General features: G+C 44.3%; 1 long non-coding RNA gene across 1 annotated transcript in view, besides 1 other annotated feature; it reads right to left on the minus strand.

Moving 5' to 3' along the window:
• Positions 1-20,855, minus strand: part of LINC00877 (long intergenic non-protein coding RNA 877) — a 64,937-nt gene that overhangs the window by 8,454 nt on the left and 35,628 nt on the right. Inside the window, exons 3-6 of the long non-coding RNA NR_104116.1 lie at positions 16,831-17,122; positions 16,538-16,639; positions 15,715-16,137; positions 11,889-11,990 (exon numbers count right to left, since the gene is read on the minus strand). This is a non-coding gene — a long non-coding RNA (long intergenic non-protein coding RNA 877). The remainder of the gene's footprint in view (positions 1-11,888; positions 11,991-15,714; positions 16,138-16,537; positions 16,640-16,830; positions 17,123-20,855) is intronic.
• Positions 3,580-4,080: an enhancer, noted in NCBI's record as "H3K27ac hESC enhancer chr3:72096703-72097203 (GRCh37/hg19 assembly coordinates)". NCBI's record gives its function as "activates a minimal SCP1, AML or CMV promoter by ChIP-STARR-seq in naive H9 embryonic stem cells {active_cell/tissue: H9 hESC(naive)}" and the evidence as "EXISTENCE:reporter gene assay evidence [ECO:0000049][PMID:30033119]".

Here is a 20,855-nt window from a genome sequence, read left to right on the forward strand (position 1 = left end):
AAAACACCTTGAAGTAATATCATCTTTACAACCTCAAAACACTGAAAGTGTATGTTTTCTCTTCCCACTGCTCTCTGCTGATAGGGTTAATTCAGTAGGAAAGTTCAAGATGTCTGAGAGTAGGTGATCTCAACCTTGGCATGACTGGCATTTGCCTGGGTAGTATGTCTCAGGGATTGTAGGATGTGGCGCAGCATCCTGGCCTCTACCCGTTAGGTGCCAGTAGCCTTCTCCTTGCCCCCTAGTTATGACAACTAAAAACATCACGAGTGGGGGACAAAATTACCCGTAGGTGAGAACCACTGTCCCAGTGTGATTGGACCTATTCATCTTAAACATGGGAAATGTGGACCATAAAATCGCCAAACCTCCTCTCTTTCCTCCTCATATCTGTGGCCTCCCAGAATTTGTGGCCCAATACCACAGGAATGGCCCAAGTCCACATGTCATCATTCAGCACAGCAGCAGCTTTCCTGGCAGAGCGGTCCCAATGAGCCATATGTGTGCTTCTGTCTCCTCTTTCCCATGCCCCAGAAAAGTCCAAGTTAATTTCCAGCCATCCCATTATGACTTCTCCAGAAAGAAAGGAAGTTTCCTGGGTTTGCATTCCAGCAGAATTGCAACCTAAGCTCTTTGTACTTTTTGACATCCTGTTTCTGATTTCCGTGCTGGGCTTAAAGTAGGGAATAAACACTTTTTTGAAAGCTCTGTGCATTCCAGAGAAAATCACCCAGCAGGCTCTAAAGAAGAGAGAGGATGCAGGGACATGCTGGTGGAACGTTCCGTGCTTGCCACTGGGTGTAGAAAGAGAAAGAGCCCCAGGGTGAGCTACATGCAGGGAGTTGGGGGAAGAGAATGTGGACAAACTAGAGGGGAGGGTCCAGGGGGCAGACCACCTGCTCTCTTCCCATTGGCTAGGCACATGCAGAGACATGTGCCTAGCCAATGGGAAGAGAACATTATTATATATAACAGTAATATATAATTACATATAATAATTTATATTATATAATAATTATTATATAATATAGCTATATATAGTTATATATTATATAACTATATATTATAGTTATATATAATATAACTATATATTATAGTTATATATAATATAACCAAATATAATAGTTATATATAATATAACCAAATATAATAGTTATATATAATATAACCAAATATAATAGTTATATATAATATAACCAAATATAATAGTTATATATAATATAACTAAATATAATAGTTATATATAATATAACTAAATATAATAGTTATATATAATATAACTAAATATAATAGTTATATATAATATAACTAAATATAATAGTTATATATAATATAACTAAATATAATAGTTATATATAATATAACTAAATATAATAGTTATATATAATATATAACTATATATAATAGTTATATATAATATAACTATAATATATAGTTATATATAATATAACTATAATATATAGTTATATATAATATAACTATAATATATAGTTATATATAATATAACTATAATATATAGTTATATATAATATAACTATAATATAATATAACTATAATATATAGTTATATATAACTATAATATAATATAACTATAATATATAGTTATATTTAATATAACTATATAGTTATATTATAATATAACTATAATATAGTTATATATAATATAACTATAATATAGTTATATATAATATAACTATAATATATAGTTATATTATATATAACTATAATATATAGTTACATATAATATATATTATTATTATATATAAGCTATATTATATAATAATTATATATAACAACATAACTTATTTTATATTTAAATATAAATATAATATATATTTTAAAATATAAATATAATATATATTTTTAAATATATATATGTTTTTAAAAGTAGGATTGTACTAGGTGTGTTTTTTAAACTGTGTCTCTTAGAACATCGACTCTAAGAAATGTTAGTAGATTATCAACCAGAAAAACGATAGCACATCCCTAGTCAAGTATAGGGGAATGAGAAATGTAGTCTAGCCAAGGTAGGACAGAAGCCTTCAGCAAGAGCCTCTTAACATAAATGCCGGCTACAAAGGTGAGATTAGCAGATGCCCACTACCCTGAAGTCACAGTAGAGATTCTGAGTATCAGAGTGAAGGTGGTCCTAGCTATTGTGCCATCCAGCATTACCCAAGAGAGTGTGGACAACTAGAGAGGATGCGGTTGCCAAAGCAGGAGAGAACATGTTCACAAGATACGGCTCTTCACTTGCTGGGGGTCTCTGGCAAGTCACTTAAACAGAGACTCAGTTTCCTCATTTGTAAAAGGTGAAAGATGCTACTGTTACTCGTGGGTACTGTTTACGTACTGTGCTAAGCACTATGTTTTAATAATTCTTGCCCTATAGGGCTCAATGAGTTATGGTGAGGGTTATATTATATAATAATGGAGATGTAAGGGCTTTGTAAACCGTAAAGCGGTTTAAAAATCCAAGGTCTATTTAGGATCATTACCTACCTCAGATAGTAATATCTACAACAACAACAGCAACAACAAAACAAAAACAAAAACACACACACACACAAACACAAAACACACCCAGGAAACAAATTAACAGAGTGGTTAAGAGCTCAAGGTTCAGAGGCAACTAATCTGAAAGTCCAATTCCAGATGGGCTACACTGACTGTGTGACTTCAGGCCTATAATTCAACCTTCCTGTGCTTCAGTTTTCTCACTGTGAAGTAGAGCAAAGTAGGATTTTGAAGAGAATTTAGGTCAGGCGTGGTGGCTTATGCCTGTAATTCCAGGGCACTGGGGGGCCAAGGTGGGAGGATCGCTTGAGGCCAGGAGTTTGAAACCAGCCTGGGCACTTTAGTGAGACCATGTCTTTACAAAATAAAAATAATAATAAATACGTAATTAGCTGGGGGTGGTGGGACATGCCTGTAGTCCTAGCTACTCCAGAGCCTGAGGTGGGAGGATCTCTTGAGCCCAGGAAGTCGAGGCTACAGTGAGACATGATTGTGCCACTGCACTCCAGCCTGGGCAACAGAGAGAGACCATATCTCTTAAATGAATGAATGAATAAACAAACAAATACATAGAATTTAATGTGATCATGCATTTAAAGCACTCAGCACAGTCTGCCACTTAGTGAGCCTCCACCAATATTTGTGCTTGAAGGCTTGGGTACCAAGGGCCTTCCCCAGCTGGATCTTTAACTAGAAAAGCAGAAAAAGAGTGAATTGAGTGAATTTAACTAGAAAAGCAGAAAAAGAGTGAATTGAGAGTGAATCGAGTTGCAGAAATGGGGGTGCTGAACCTGAACCTGTGGAATGAAGGGAAAAAAGCCCCTACTCATGGCGTTGATTCTGGCTCAGAAGGAAAGGAATAGTAAGACGGGGTCCTTGCGTCTGCTGTGCCAAGTGCGATTGAGTGGGAGAATCCTGCCAGCAACTCTTCTCAAAGCCCACGTCTGTCTCTGCTGCCAGGATGTGCTAATCGCCTGCCTTTTTCCATTTCTCCATGTGTGCCCAGTCTGGAAGAGGCTTAGCCTTGTCCTTGGAGTTCTTCTTGTGTTCTAGGTCAGTCTCCGCCACTGCACATACACACACACACCAGCAATGACCCAAGGAAGGCGGGATACCTCAACCCCAGCCAGCCCCTGCTTCCTGGAAGTGTTGACCACTCATGTCTCTGGAAGGCGCCCTCAAGCTTATGATGACGCAAGAGCAGAGATGTGTTAGTCGTAGCAAACACCTGGCCCTCTGAATCAGGGCTCCTCCAGGTTGGTGTTTTTGGGTGAGTCTTTCTGAATCTTCTTTTTCTGGCGTTATTGACACGACCGTTTGCCAGGTTTCCGATCCTTTCTGGGTTTTTTGTTGTTGTTGTTTTGTTTTTTTGAGATGGAGTCTCGCTCTGTCTCCTAGGCTAGAGTGTAGTAGCACGATCTCGGCTCACTGCAACCTCTGCCTCCCGGGTTCAAGCGATTCTCCTGCCTCAGCCTCCTGAGTAGCTGGGATTACAGGCATGTGCCACCACATCTGGCTAATTTCTGTATTTTCAGTAGAGATGGCGTTTCACCATGTTGGCCAGGCTGGTCTTGAACTCCTGACTTCAAGTGATCCACCCTCCTTGGACTCCCAAAGTGCTGGGATTACAGGCATGAGCCACCATGCCCAGCCTGATCCTTGCTGTTAATCTGAATTTCCCTGGCAGCCCTCTCTGGCTTGGAACCCCTCTGACTGCTCCTAGGTTCAGTCTCCCCACAATCAGACCCCGAGGTGAAGATTTGAGTGCAAGTGGTTTATTTGGGAAGAAGGGCAAATGGGGGAGTGAGGATGTTGAGATGGGGAAGGGAAACAGGCCAGGAGGGGCACTGTCAGGCAAGTTCTTATGGTCAGTTGAGCTCATTCTGAAGAGCTCTGGGACATAGTGTGGAAGGTGCCTTCAAGTTATCCTACCTGGGGGCATGGACGGGGTGTTGGGCCACCCATCTGTATTTTTTGGGGGCTCAGAGGCCAAGGAAAATGCCCAGAAGCAGAGAGACCCAGCAGTGTGCAGTACCTGCTTTCGTGGGTGCAGCTGAGAGCTGAGAGCTTATGGCAGGGCCCCAATACTGCCTGCCCCTCTTCCCAACAACATTTCTCAAATCTCAGGACCCTAGACACAAGCCCAGCCTCTGCTGTGTGAGGGAAGCAGGATGTCAGGGGACCGTGACTCCACCACAGCTTCCCAGAGGGGGAACCAGGTTGCAACTGTTGAAATATTGATGGAACTCTAAAAAATATGTGGAATCCGCTAAGGAAATTGCAAAACATCGGTCACAGTTCTGTTTATTTGGTGCCTCTCTAACCATGGCAAATTTTTCATCAGGAGAGAAAATTAAAACTAAGTAAAACCGTAAGCACTCTCTCTTGGGAGAGGCCCAGAACTCATTTCTCTGCCTGTTCCCAGCCAGCCCCTCAATGCTAACATTGAAATTAAAAAAATAAAATATGCTTGTTTTTTTCAGTCTCAAAGATCTTCCTCCCTCTCTTGTTACACTGGCAGGCTGGTCTGGGAAAGGTGCTGGACGTCGCTTCATCCTGTTCTCCCTGGATGATCTCTGCCAGCTGGTATGAACTGATGCCCTCTGACTGGCTGGCGTGCAACTGGGTTCTCTCCCACCTTGCTGCCTGCATTACCCTGGACAGATGTGCAAGTCCTAGGTGCCCTGGTTTCTTCATCTTTAAGGTGCTGGTAATAATAGAATCTACCTCTTAGGGTTCTGATGAGGATTAAACGAGATGATATAAGCCCATGCCAAGCACGTGCATGCACAGAGTGAGTTCCCAGTAAATATTAGCTCTCATTATTATTAATATCCAGGGCCCCATCTTGAGGGTGGAGGGGTGGGCTATAACCCCCAACTCCTTTTTTAAAAAATAGTTTTAGTTCTGTGGGTCCCACTCAACATTTGTCACTGACTATCCCAATAGGTCCATTAAACATTTATGCAGATAAAACCCTGGTGGCCTGCCCGTGATCTCTGGACCTGCTGGAGTTGCAGGAGAGAACTCTACAGAAGCCTGGCAACATTTTCCCAGGTATCAAGAGAAGGGAGGTAATTCTCAGTCAAGTGCAACTACACCTCAGGGTCAGGTTTTATCCCCATGCTAATCCCAGCATTTGGGAGTCAGTGTTAAGAGGAGCATGGAGAAGGGAGAGATTAATTCCAGCCAAGGGGGTCACTACTTAAACCACATCTGCATTATTCTATTTCTCCTGGGATGTCACACTTTGCTGGGTATTGGCAAATAGATATATTTTTAAAATATACAGATCCATTTCTGGGCCATATAGGATGCTATGTGTAGGTGAACTGTGTGCTGAGAAGAGGGCTGGTAAGAGGTGAGGAAACCACTTAAATTCCTAAAGCATCTAATGCAAGGGGCTCAGGAAATACTAATGAAATTGAATTAATGAGAATATTAGACCATAAGGCTGTGCATATTGGATCAGGCCATTTGGTTGTGCATAATCATATTTTAGCAGCAGGTAACATCTCAAGCTCTCCGGAATTTTAAGCCCCAAATGGAGGTGGAAATGCCCTCCTTTTAGAAAGCTACTGTGAGTGAGAGGAGGATGCCTGAAATCTCAAACCACAGGACTCACAAAAATTGGCATTCGGGAAATCACCAAAGCTCTTCCTGCCCTCCCAGTGCCAGTCCACATCTGGTGTCCTGGATCAGGGACTTCAGGTTGCCCTGTCGATAGCAGCTGTCTCCTGGCACTGGGAATTTAGCAGCCTCCTGTTCATTCGTAATTTTATTTGCTTTGGCCAAGACATCAGAACAGAGGTGTTAGATGTGGTCCCTGTTTAAATGTACCTCACATGGGAGACTGATTAGGAAATCGGAGCAATTCGTGGTTATGAATATTCAAGGTGGAGGAAAAAACAAACAGGGTTTGTGGGGCATGTAACTGAAGACAAATAAATACTCAACCAGAGAATCAGGAATGGAGCCCAGGGATCATGATTGCCTTAGCCATAAGCTATCTGGAAGATCAGGGTGGAGGACTTGTCTGCCATGTAAAATGCTGTGTTCCCAGCACCTAGCACAATGCTGTCACCCAGTGGGTGCTACGTAAAGATTTATCAAATAAACAAAAGAATTGGCCCACAGGTTAGAAACCCCTGCCCTGCAGGTGTGTTTGTTTATCATAAATGAGGTTTTTAAAAAGTTTTTAAGTGCTGTGGTATGCAGAATTCTAAATCTGAACCCCCCACCCCCCAACCCACAAATTCCCATCCCCTGGATATTTAATGAGACATGAGTCTACACACTGCTGGGAAGGGACTTTGCTGATGGGATTAAAGTGGCAAGTCAGTCAACCTTAAATTACAAAAATTATTCAGGTAGGCCTGACCCAATTAGGTGAAACCTTTAAAAGTAGAGTTTTTCCTGTCTGATAGCGGAAGGAAAGTCAGAGAGATTCAAAGCACAAGAAAGCTTGCACGTGCCTTTGCTGCCTTTGAAGACTGGATCATGTGGGAGGATCTTTTCTGGCCAGCAGTAGATAGAGCATGGTGGTTAGGAACGTGGAATTGGAGCCACACTGCCTAGATTCAAATCCCAGCTCTGTCATTTTGCCAGCCGAAAGACCTCGGGTAAGTTATTTCATCTCCCTGTGCCTTGGTTTCCCCATCTGTGAAATGGGGAAAATTACAGTACTTCATCACCAGGTCATGGTGAGAAGCAAGTAAGGTAAAACAAGTAAAGTGCTTAGAACAGTGTCTAGCACACAGTACATGCTTTATAAAACCTGTTATTATTATTTTAAGACATTGCTTTCTTAGAATGTCCCCCAACACCTAGGATCTGGGAAGGCTGTGTCCATAAACCCACAGGGCAACAATCAGCCAAAGCTGCCCCTTTGACACCACCATTCCTGGTTTCTTCATATGCACCCCTCCTGGCTCATTGCATTTCCGGCCTAGCCCTTGTAGGCATTTGGGCTTGCAATCCTTGACCCTAGATTGTTGCCTAGGCAGGCAAGCCAAGACATCATTCATTAGCTGAGTGGGTATAGTCTTCTCCTAAGCCCTCCTCCGTTTTTCTTTGGAAGGATTTAGAGGGCTGGCTAGAGTTTGGCTTGAAAGGATTTGAGCAAAGACACTTGTGGGCCTTTGAACTGAAGATCCCGATGGACGAAGGAAAAGTGGCCCAGGAGGGCTCTTGAGCATCTAATCCATTTGGGGCTGTCATTGCCTCTGTGCTTTGTAAAATAAAGGATAACAAGAACCCTATGAAAGATGCCATCATCCCTCTGGTGGCTCCAAAGCCCAAGCCCACTAGACATTCTGAATTGTGAATGCTGGCTGCTCAAGGGCCCTCTCGCCTCTCTCTTCTGTGGTCCTCGATGATCCCCTGGTCCTGGATCCTTGCCAAGAAGGAAGAGAAAAATGCCTCTCCAAGCCTGAAGTCATCTCCCTATCTCAGGTCCAATTAGCCCAGAGCACTGGGGATGCTGTATGTGTGAGCAGCCAGGGCAGAGAGTGCTTTCCAGCCCACAGGCAGGTGGACCAGGAGGAGGCCAGCATTTGTTTTCAGTCTAAAGGAGAGCCCAGGGTGGGGACCACAGGCAGCTCCCATCCTGCCTCTCAAGGGTAATCTGGGAGGATGAGAAAATGCTCCATGGCTACAATACCTCAGTTTCCCTCCCTTCTTAGACTATGACCTCCCCAGGCTGTGAAGATGAACTGCTGAAAACAAACCAACCACCATCTGGTTTTCAGCCTCAATTTGGAGCAAAAGCAGAGGAGTAGACCAGTTGGCTGCACATCTCCCCAACACCCTCCCACCCTTTTCCCTTTTTCTCTCAGACTTGTTCCTAGAACTCAAGCTTGTGTGTAGTACAAGAATGTTTTGAAATATTTGATGATGTGCTTATTCTTCCTTGCTCTCCCCTTTTAGGATTCTCTCTCTCTCTCTGTCTTCCACAAAGTCTTGCTATTCAAAGTGAGACTGTGAGGCCAGGCGTGGTGGCTCAGGCCTGTAATCCTAGCACTTTGGGAGGCTGAGGCGGATGGATCACTTGAGTCTGGAGTTCGAGACCAGCCTGGCCAAAATGGCGAAACCCCATCTCTATTAAAAATACAAAAAATTACCTGGGCATGGTGGCACACATCTGTAATCCCAGCTACTTGGGAGGCTGAGGCAGGAGAATTCTTGAACCGGAGAAGTGGAGATTGCAGTGAGGTGAAATCATGCCACTGCACTCCAGCCTGGGTGACAGAGTAAGACTCTTGTCTCAAAACAAAACAAAACAAAACAAAACAAAACAAAAAAAACCCAAAGTGGGCTTGAGAGCTTCCTGGGCCACCAGCATTGGCATTGCCTGGGAGTTTGTTAGAAATCTGGAATCTTAGACTTGCTCCACACCTCTTGAGTCAGAAACTGCAGTTGAGTATAGTCATGTGCTGAATAATGATGTTTTGGCCACAGGCCAAACATCTTATCTTCAAATCTTATGACGTCAAATTTTATGACGGTGAGCTCATAAGATTATAATGGAGCTGAAAACTTCCTTCATCTAGTGATGTAGGCACCTTAACGTCGTAGCATTACTCATATATTTTTGGTGATGCTGGTGTAAACAAACTGATATGGTTTGGCTATGTCCCCACCCAAATGTCATCTTGAATTCCCACGTGTTGTGGGAGGGGCTCGGTGGGAGATAAGTAATCGTGGGGGCAGGTCTTTCCCATGCTGTTCTCGTGATAGTGAATAAGTCTTGAGAGATCTGATGGTTTTGAAAAACAGGAGTCTCCCTGCACAAGCTTTCCTTTTGCCTGCTGCCATCCATGTAAGGCATGATTTGCTGCCTTCCACCATGATTGTGAGGCCTCCCCAGACATGTGCAACTGTAAGTCCAATAAACCTCTTTCTTTTGTAAATTGCCCAGTCTTAGATATGTCTTTATCAGTAGCATGAAAATGGACTAATAAACAAATCTACACTGCCAGTCGTATAAAAGGATAGTGTATATGACTATGCTCGGTATAGAATACTTGATAACAGATGACTATATTACTGATTCATGAATTTACTATACTATATTTTTATTGTTATTTAGATTATACTCCTTCTACTTATTAAAAAAAATTAAATGTAAAACAGCCTCAGGCAGGCCATTCAGGAGGTATTCCAGAAGAAGACATTGTCATCATTGGAGATGACAGCTCCATGTGTATTATTGCCCCTGAAGACCTTGAGTGGGACAAGGTGTGGAAAGAGAAGACAGTGATATTGATAATCCTGACCCTGTGTAGGCCTAGGCTAATGTGTGTTTGTGCCTTAGTTTTTGTTGTTGTTGCTGTTGTTTTTATTTTTATTTTTTAAGAAGGAGTCTCATTCTGTTGCCAGGCTGTAGTGCAGCGGTGTGATCTCGGCTCACTGCAACCTCCACCTCCCGGGTTCAGGCAATTCTTCTGCCTCAGCCTCCCGAGTAGCAGGACTACAGGCGCATGCCACCATGCCCAGCTAATTTTTGTATTTTTAGTAGAGATGGGGTTTCACCATGTTGGCCAGGATGATCTTGATCTCTTGACCTCGTGATCTGCCTGCCTCGGCCTCCCAAAGTGCTGGGATTACAGGTGTGAGCCACTGCGCCTGGCCCTGTTTTGTTTTTGTTTTTGTTTTGTTTTATTTTTTTTGAGATGAAATCTTGCTCTGTTGCCCAGGCCGGAGTGCAGTGCACAATCTCAGCTCACTGTAGCCTCCGCTTCCCAGGTTCAAGAGATTCTCGTGCCTCAGCCTCCCAAGTAGCTGGGTTTACAGCTGCACACTACCACACTTAGCTAATTTTTGTATTTTTAGTAGAGACAGCATTTCACCGTTTTGGCCAGGCTGGTCTTGAACTCCTGACCTCAGGTAATCCGCCCACCTTGGCCTCCCAAAATGCTGAGATTATAGGCATGAGCCTCTGTGCCTGGCCTGTGCCTTAGTTTTTAAAAAATCATTTTAAAAATTAAAAAATAGAAAAAAGCTGTATAGAATAAGAATATATGAAGAAAGATTAAAAGAAGTTTTTTTTTTTTATTTTTAGTGGACATGGGATTTCACCATGTTGGTCAGGCTGGTCTTGAACTCCTGACCTCAAATGATCTTCCTGCCTCTGCCTCTCAAAGTGCTGGGATTACAGGTGTGAGCCACCATGCCTTGCCAAGAAAGAAAATATTTTTGTATAGCTGTACAATGTGTTTGTGTTGTAAGCTAAGTGTTAATACATAAGAGTCAAAAAGTTTATAAAATAGTAATAAAAAAGATATAGTAAGCCAAGGGAAAGAAAAATATTCTTTTGTAGATTTAATGTCGCCTAAGCGTCCAATGTGTACAAGGTCTACAGTAGCGTACAATAATGTCCTAGGTCTTCACATTCACTCACTGACTCACTCAGAGCAACTTCCAGTCCTGCAAACTCCATTCATGGTAAGGGCCCTATACGGGTGTCCCATTATAAAATCTTTTAAATTGTGTTTTTACTGTTCCTTTTCTATGCTCAGATATGTTTAGATGCACAAATACTTACCATTGTGTTACAATATCCTACAATATTCAGTACAGTCACATGCCATAGAGGTTTGTAGCCCAGGAGCAATAGGCCATACCATACAGCCTAGGTATGTAGTAGGCTCTGCCATCTAGGTTTATGTAAGAGTTTGGACTCTGCTCTGTGATATTTGTGCAATGACAAAACTACCTGATGACACATTTCTCAGAGTTCATTCCCTCACTGAGCCATGTTTAATTGTATTATCCCTAGGGGATTGATGTGAGCATTAAAATTTGAGAAGCGATCCCTAGGCTGGAGCTCTTCCTCCCTGGCCCAGATGGACAGAGTCACCCACTGCTTTGGGGGAAAGAAGAAAACAAAGCAGGAAGAGGGATGCAAATTCCTGACTACCGAGTTTTTAAAAATCCACTTGCTTAAATTTAAGGCAGAAATCATAGTGCATATACCTGCAGAACACATTTTTTCTCTGCTGTCAGATAAATTAAGACTCCACCCCTGAAGGAGAGAGGAAGAAGAGGGACCATGGAGACAGGAGCTAAGTGAGATCAAGAGGCTCCAGGTCTTGGGAGTGATGCCATTCATCCCAGTGCCACATGGCTGCCCAGTTTGTGCCCAGTTGTCCTCCTCATGGCCATCTGCTAGGGCACACTCATGGTCATGTTGCCAGCCAATCAGACAGAAGGACTGAGGCTCTTCTGCAGCCAGAGAATTTGCTTTAGCCACTGTCTGACCATGCAGACCCATGTGGGCCACAGCACCCCCGGAATAGAGTATGGGGCCCTAGATACCTTCAGAGGTAATGTGACCAAGAGGAAAAGCTCCGTTAGGAACAAGACCTCACCATGTCAAAGACATCCAGCGACGCATTCTACACTTTTGATTTGGTTTCCCCCTTGCATGTCCCATTATGTGAAGAGAAGGCTCTGGAACTTCCAACTTCATCCTTCATGGGAAAAAATGGAAATAATGAAGGTGACTTAATAGCATAATGGCTTGTCACAGCTGGGAATGACCTTAGAGTCATTCAAACCATAAAAAAAGATCTCTTTCTTCCATCTGTCCATCCTTTCTTCTATCTCTTCCTTCCATCTTTCCATCCATCCATGCATCCATCCATCCATCCATCCATCCAGACTTTCATTAATTGGACAAGCGTTTATTGAGTATCTCCTACTAGTCAGGAATCAGGCTAGGCACTGGGGGATCTATTGCTTGGCAAAAGCAGATATAGATCCTACCCTGGAACCCCTGGCCCATTATTGCTTTGTCTCATTCAGCCACTTACCACCTACTGGAAGAAGGGAAACAGAGGATCTCTGAGCTCAGAAAAGTGTGACAGATTAGTTTTCCAAGAGATAAACTGGGAGAAGCATGCCTCCCTTTAAAAAGTCACTTTGCTAGCAATAGCTAACAGTTTTTAAGGTCTTGCTTTATGCTATATGAAGAGAATGCATTAAAGCATCACACTAAGCCCTATTACATAATTTTTCAATCCTCACAACAACTTTTAAGAGTTGGTTCTATCATTAATCCCATTTTACAGATGCAGACACTGAGTCTTGGAAGGTTAAAAGACTTGCCCAACATGATTGAAACTAGTAAGTGGTAGAGCTGGGGTCTGAATCCCAGGCTTTACTTGGGATAGGAAACATGGTGTTGAAATACTGCAAGACAGCCATGACCCTCCAGAGAGCCTGCTTCATATGCACACAAGTAGTGAAGTGGTACAGAACCTGGCTCAGAGGCCCACATTTGGGGATTAATGCTCCAGAGTTGTCACCTTGAAACTCCTAATAATTATACCTTTGATTTTTGGGTTTTGTAAGCCGATTTTGATGGGACTGTGGAGCTGTCCTGCTGCTGCCTTTCCACCTCGTCATCTCCCCAGGATGAGTTCTCCGTCACTCGCTCCTGTGCCCCATAACACCCTGATACTGCTTGGCCTCTCTTTCTCTCTCTCTCTCTCTGCCACTCCCCCAGTGACTACAGCCACCGACACCACCAGGTGTCCCTAAGCATCGTCCAATGATTGATGCTGCCTTCCAGCCCCAAGAGAGGCCTAGGCGCTGGCATGGGAAGAGTGAACTTGGGTGCATGCACTTAGTAGCATCAGGAGCAAGATATGGCTGCACCTCGGCATGCCTGGTACACAGCTTGGCAGGCGCAAGCCTCTGCCCACCTGACCCATACCAGTGTGCCCAGCATGGAGGTTGCAATCCTTGAGGGTTGCCTGTCCACTGTGGGTTGGGGTAGCTGGCCAGTAGGAAGGAGAGAATGGCTTCTCTGCCCTTGGCTGGGGTGCGGGCGTCAGTCTGGTGGCTGCTGGGAGCGGGAGCCTAGCAGGTGGGGCTGAGGGCTGGCATGTACTGCGTCACAGGATTCCCAGTACCTGTGACAGTCACACTGTCTGCGTGAGTATTCCTTTGCCTGAGGAGATGGCACATTAAATAATAAATAAAAACACAGGAGTTGGGGAGAGAAAAGGAACAAGAGACAAAGAGACAGACAGTAGAAGAGTGGACAAAGTTTTCTATTTCAGTTCCTTTGATTGCACCTTTATCCTGATTTATGAACAAGGGGTCCTGTGTTTTTATTTTGCACTGGACCTTACAAATGATGTCACTGGGCCCCAAACCACACCACAGACTGCTGTGCCGGCAGTGAGGGTTCTTCACCCACTAAGCCTCCAAGAGAACCTTTTCTCACTCCTCTCCTAAAAAGGAGAGACTGTTCCTTTAAAAAGACCCCTCCCTACCCCCGCCCCATCTAAATCTCAGTGCTCCAATTTGGAAGTTTCTCTCAGGCTAGGTCTACATGCATTCCATCTGTCTAGCTTCTTCAGGTTCATTCCCTTATATGTTACTTTACTTAGCTTTTAATGCTCATATTTGTTGGGTGCTTGCCATGTTAAACCCTTTACACAGAAAGTCTCATTTAATTCTCACAGCAGCCCTGTGAAATACATGCTACTATTATGCCCGTGTTGCATATGGGAAAACTGAAGCTTGAGAGGCTAAAGGGTTAGCCCAGTGAAAATAAGGACCTTTCTGCAGTCTCTTTGCACATCCTTTGTCTGTTCAGCCCAGCATGCCTTGCACTTGCTACCACCTGTCTTTGCCGACAGTTTCCATTTCATAAAGTAGCCTTTCTTCTCATTCCCTTCTAGGGCCAGACTACCTTCATGGAACTAAAGTTCATGGATTTTCTAGAGTTATTCTTAACACATTTCAGAGGTGCCTGGGATCTGCCCTGTACAAGCTTCCTGGAGTTAGAAGGACTGGCTGCTCGTCCTGGGAAACGCTTTCTGGAAAGAGGAGATACTGGGAACACATAAAAAAAAAAACCGTTGGGAATATATGGCTTGGGTGAGACATTTCAAATATCACCCCTCCATGCCACCAACAGGCAAAGACTTAGTCCCAGCTGCCCAGTTATTTACCAAAGGAAGTCTGCTGCAGGTAGGCACACTGGAGACTTTCTTCTGTAGGCCTTTCATTGCCAGGAGGCACCCAGAGAATGTACAGATTACAAGCCCCATCACCTCAAGCCAATTTGCAGAGGGATTGCTGAATAGAGCTCTCTTTGGAGGCCAAGCCAGGATTACAGTAATTGCAGGCCGGCTGCCGGCTCTCTGGCGGCAGTGCCCGGTGGAGGCTGCCAGCTGGCCCTGCTAATTACCTGTCGCCCAGGATAGGAAGGAGAACATGAGAAAGGACTGACGAGGCCCAGACAGAAGGCACTGGAGCATGGCAGGCTGGCATCTCCAGGATCCAGGCCTCCCAGCCGGCCCCATGGCTATGGCTCTTCTGTTGCAGAGAATGACTTGGCATGTTTCTACCTTGTTCCTCCCAAACAGCTCCCTCGCACAGTCCTGCCTGTCTCCCCTTCAGAGCAATAAACCTCTCTAGAGTTTTCCCTGGGACACTACAGGAATTGCTGAGAGTGGGGTTTTGGGCAGAAGCTCAGAGAAGGCGAGAGAGAGAAACCCTTTCTAGACTAGTGCTGCTCAATTTAACATAAGCCACAAATGTAATTTTAATTTTTTTAGTAGCTATATTAAAAAGAAAAGGTAGGCTGGGCGTGGTGGCTCATGCCTGTAATCCCAGCACTTTGGGAGGCTGAGGCGGGTGGATCATCTGAGGTCAGAAGTTCAAGACCAGCCTGGTCCACATGGTGAAACTGCATCTTTACTAAATATACAAAAAATTAGCTGGGCGTGGTGGCAGTCGCCTGTAATCCCAGCTACTCGGGAGGCTGAGGCAGGAGAATTGCTTGAACCCGGGAGGCGGAGGTTGCAGTGAGCTGAGATCATGTCATTGCGCTCCAGCCTGGGCAACAAGAGCAAAAACTTCGCCTCAAAAAAATAAAAATAAAAATAAAATAAAAAAGAAAAGGTAAAAAGAAACAGGTGATGTTAATTTCAGTAATATGGGTATATTTTATTTAGCCCAATATATCTAAAATATTATTTCAACATGCAATAATGTTTTTAAAGTATTGAGATATTTTACATTATTTTCTTGGTACCAAGTATTGAAAATCCAGTGTGTATTTTACATGTTAGAGCACATGTCCATTAGGACTAGCCCATAGCCACACAGGGCCAGTGACTACCATGTTGGCCAGCACAGCTTCAGATGCGATGGAAAATACAACTCAAAGCTTACCTACAGGCTTTCTTTAGCCATATTTGGGTTTTGTCCCCAAACTTCCAGTCTTTCTTCTGAGCTTGACATTTGCTCTCCAAGTCTTAGATCCCTGCTCCTCCTGCTGCAGGCCAAGGACAACAGCACTGGACATTCACCTTGGACCTTGGTCAAAATGCAGAATTTCAAGTTCCCGCCAGGACCTACTGCACCAGAGTCTGCATTTCACCAAGATCTCCAGGTGACTTGAATAGTCAGTTTGAGAAGCGCTGCTCTAGGCTTCTCCCTCTACCCCTGTCCCTCCTGATTGCATTTGAACTGGTGCACCTGGTCATTCACTTCAATCTTGGGCTCCTTTTTGCCTGGATTCCTTTTTCCATCTTCCAAACCTTTGGCTTTTGCCAGATGTAGATGACACTTGCATTATCTGCTTCTGTCTCTGGGCTGCAGAAAGGCAAAAGTGGAAATTATCAACCACAAGTGAAAATGACAACTTGTCTACCACTTATTTGATACTTTCTATGAGCCAGGCCCCATGCTCAGCACTTTGCATGCATAATCTCACAGAATTCTCACCGGATTTTAGAACCTGGTGCATTATTACATACATTTTAGAAACAAAGCCCAGAGACTAACATCCACACACAGCTAATATCTGGTGGAGTAGAATGAAACCGTGAATCTGCCTGATTGGGAAGCCCATATACTTTGACTAGGTTGAAGTTAAAGTTGTTTTAATGTGGGTGGTGGCAAAGGCGGGTGTATTAGTCTGTTTTCACGCTGCTGATAAAGATATACCTGACACTGGGTAATTTATAAAGAAAAAGAGGTTTCATGGACTCACAGTTCCACATGGCCGGGGAAGAGGCCTCACAGTCATGGTGGAAGGCAAAACGCAGGTCTCACATGGCAGCAGGCAGGAGGGAGCTTGTGCAGGGAAACTCCCCTTTATAAAACCATCAGATCTTGTGAAACTTATTTACTATCATGAGAACAGCATGGGAAAGACCCCCCCCCGCCATGATTCAATTACCTCCCACCAGATCCCTCCCACACCACGTGGGAATTGTGGGAGCTACAATTCAAGATGAGATTTGGGTGGTGATACCACCAAGCCACATCAGTGGGGGTACTTACTCTTGTTCAGAAAGCCTTTCATTCTGATTCGTCCATTTTCCATGGTCTTCCTCACAATGGTAGCTACATACTTTGTTGTTTTTGAACTCCCACCTCACCAACCTGACCTTCTGAAGATAACTTCTCCTTCTAAGGGAAACTTGAAACCATCTCACATGAATGTCCTCAGTTTTCCTCTTCTCAGTCTCAAAATCTCCATGTGTCTGCTTTGCCTTGATTTGGCTTTGTTTCATGGCTTCCCAGGCAACCTTCTGACTTTGGGATTGCAAGCTAGCTTCAACCAGGCACTTTCCTGTGGGGGAGGAGAAATGCTGCTAAGGCTATATTAGTGTTCCTGAGCCTGCCTGGCAGCTGGCATAAATTCACTTACTGTAAGTTCACAATTCGCATTCTGATTTATATCCCAGACTCTTGGGGGCATGGTCAATGTGAGTCTTTAATGTGGCTTTTTAAAACCATATCTCCATGCTGGTCAGCTTACAGAGTTGCATCTCTCCCGGAGAGATTTTGGATGCACATAGATAAAGACCCAGGTGAAGACTCTGCCATGGGGCTCCAGCTGAGCAGTTGGCTGGACAACTTTGCTGTCATTGCTCTTTCTCTCTGTATATGACACAGGGGCTCCCTGACAGAGCTCCTAACACATAGAGTCTTGTATTGTCTTGACTGGATAAACTGGTATTGCCAGCTAGGTTTTAAAGCCCCTAAGGTATGGGCCACAGCCTTTGCTATATAGGACGAATTGGAGGGATGCTTGTGAATGAATACCTAGCTGTGTTAGTTTGGGTTCCTCCAGAAATCATCTGTAAGACAAGGATTAGAGTGGAGACAGTTTGAGATTTGGGAAGGAAGGGGACATTAGGAGGCAGGTCAAGGTGAAGAGAAGGAAGGGATAAAAGTTAATAAAGGGTATGTTTTCAAGCTAGCTACTCCTGTGGGTGACTAGAGCTTAGTCCCACTGAGGAAACTCTAGGATTCAGTGTAGAAATGTGCCTCTGAGGTATCCTGCTCCAAGGGTGAGGGGGCTAGGGTATTTATATACCCAATCCCATTAGTAATTGGTTGAGGGCTGCTCTCGGGGGGGTTCCGTCAGGAAGAGAAACTCCCAGGCAAAAAAACAGAGATGCCAGCAGTTGGAAGTCAGGCCAGTATGCATAAAAGTGGTAAGAATGCGGGGTACAGGAGGGTCCTGACAATGTCTGCCATGGCAGACTAGGTTAATAAACCTCTTGCCATAACCATGTCAAGAGGGAATAAGCTAATTCTTGCCCTTTGACACCTGGCTCTTGAATTCCTTTCAGTCATTTCTGGTGTTCATTTTTAACCAGGTATTACTCGTATTAAAATGTTGGAATGAGCTGAGTCACAGGTGGTTGGCCTAGATGGCAACTTGTTCCAGACCCTGACCTACAAATGCCTTTGGATAGATCCCTGGAAAGGCATGGCTCCAAATCCCTCTCTCTTGGTTTCTGTTGGCTGGCTGGTAGGCATAGCAGTGAAGTCAGGCTCTATGTGAATGTTGGGATCCTATCCCTCTCCTGTCCCATGTGTTCCAACTTGACCAGTCAAGACTGGCTGGGCAGACACACAATCCAACTCAAAACCACCAACATCAAGCAGTTTCTTGGTGTCTCTGTTTTGGGTGCAGAAATGACTTTTGGGGAAAGGAATCTATCCTGGGGGAAAGAGAGTGGAAGAAATTTCTATTATCTGTCTACACCTATCTATGTATCTATTTATGTACTCTATCTATCTATCTCTCTCTCTCTCTCTCTCTATATATATATATATATGTATGTATGTATATCATCACGCTGCTGATAAAGACATACCCAAGGCTAAGCAACCTATAAAAGAAAGAGTTTTAATTGGAATTAAAGTTCCACATGGCTGCGGAAGCCTCACAATCATGATGGAAGCAAGGAGGAGCAAGTCACATCTTACGTGGATGGTGGCTGGCAAAAAATGAGAGAGCTTGTGCAGGGGAATGCCTCTTTTTAAAACCATCAGATCTTGTGAGACTTATTCACTATCACAATAACAGCACAGGAAAGACTTGACTCCATGATTCAATTCCCTCCCACCAGGTCCCTCCCATAACACATGGGAATTCAAGATGAGATTTGGGTGGGGGCACAGCCAAACCATATCATTCTGCCCCTGACCCCTCCCAAATCTCATGTCCTCACATTTCAAAACCAATCATGCCTTCCCAACAGTCCCTCAAAGTCTTAACTCATTTCAGCATTAACTCAAAAGTCCACAGTCCAAAGTGTCATCTGAGACAAGACAAGTCCCTTCCACCGATGAGCCTGTAAATCACAAGCAAATTTGTTACTTCCTAGATACAATGGGGGTACAGGCATTGGGTAAATACAGCCATTCCAAATGGGAGAAATTGGCCAAAACAAAGGGGCTACAGGTCCCATGCAAGTCCAGAATCCAGCAGGGCAGTCAAATATTAAAGCTTCAAAATGATCTCCTTTGACTCCATGTCTCACATCCAAGTCATGCTGATGCAAGAGGTGGGTTCCCATGGTCTTGGGCAGCTCCACTCCTGTGGCTTTGCAGGGTACAGCCTCCCTCCCAGCTGCCTTCATGGGCTGGTGTTGAATTTCTGTGGCTTTTCCAGGCACACGGTGCAAGCTGTCAGTGGATCTACCATTCTGGGGTCTGGAGGACAGTGGTCCTCTTCTCATAACTCCACTAGGCAGTGCCCCAGTGGGGACTCTGTGTGGGGGCTCTGAACCCACATTTCCCTTCCACACTGCCCTAGCAGAGGTTCTCCATGAGGACCCCACCCCTGAAACAAACTTCTGCCTGGGCATCCAGGCATTTCCATACATCTTCTGAAATCTAAGCAGAGATTCCCAAATCTCAACTCTTGACTGCTGTGTACTCACAGCCTCAACACCATGTGGAAGCTGCCAAGGCTTGGGGCTTGGACCCTCTGAAGCCATGGCCTGAGCTCTACGTTGGCCCCTTTCGGCCACAGCTGGAATGGCTGGGATTCAGGGTACCAAGTCCTTAGGCTGCACACAGCATGCCCATGAAACCACTTGTTCCTCCTAGGCCTCAGGGCCTGTGATGGGAGGGGCTGCTGTGAAGACCTCTGACATGCCCTGGAGACATTTTCCCCACTGCTTGGTGATTAACATTCGGCTTCTTGTTACTTATGCAAATTTCGGCAGCCAGCTTGAATTTCTTCTCAGAAAATGGGATTTTCTTTTTTATCCCATTGTCAGGCTGCAAATTTTTTGAACTTTTATGCTCTGCTTCCCTTATAAAACTGAATGCCTTTAACAGCACCCAAGTCACCTCTTGAATGCTTTTCTGCTTAGAAATTTCTTTTGCCAGATACCCTAAATCATCTCTTTCAAGCTCAAAGTTTCACAAATCTCTAAGGCAGGGACAAAATGCTGCCAGTCTCTTTGCTAAAACATAATAAGAGTCACCTTTGCTCCAGTTCCCAACAAATTCCTCATCTCCATCTGAGACCACCTCAGCCTGGATTTCATTGGCCATATCATATCAGCATTCTGGTCAAAGCCATTCAACAAGTCTCTAGCAAGTTCCAAACTTTCCCACATTTTCCTATCTTCTACTGAGCCCTCCAAACTGTTCCAACCTCTGCCTGTTACCCAGTTCCAAAGTCGCTTCCACATTTTCAGGTATCTTTTCAGCAGTGTCCCACTCTACTGGTACCAATTTACTGTATTAGTATGTTTTCATGCTGCTGATAAAGACATACCCAAGGCTGAGCAACTTACAAGAGAAAGAGATTTAATTGGAATTACAGTTCCATGTGGCTGGGGAAGCCTCACAATCATGGTGGAAGGCAAGGAGGAACAAGTCACAACTTATGTGGATGGCAGCTGGCAAAAAATGAGAGAGCTTGTGTAGGGGAACGCCTCTTTTTAAAACCATCAGATCTTGTGAGACTTTTCACTATCATGAGAACAGCATGGGGAAGACTTGCCCCCACGATTCAATTCCCTCCCACCAAGTCCCTCCCACAACACGTG

The sequence above is a fragment of the Homo sapiens genome, chromosome 3, assembly GCF_000001405.40.
Source record: "Homo sapiens chromosome 3, GRCh38.p14 Primary Assembly".
NCBI classification, from domain to species: Eukaryota; Metazoa; Chordata; class Mammalia; order Primates; family Hominidae; genus Homo; species Homo sapiens.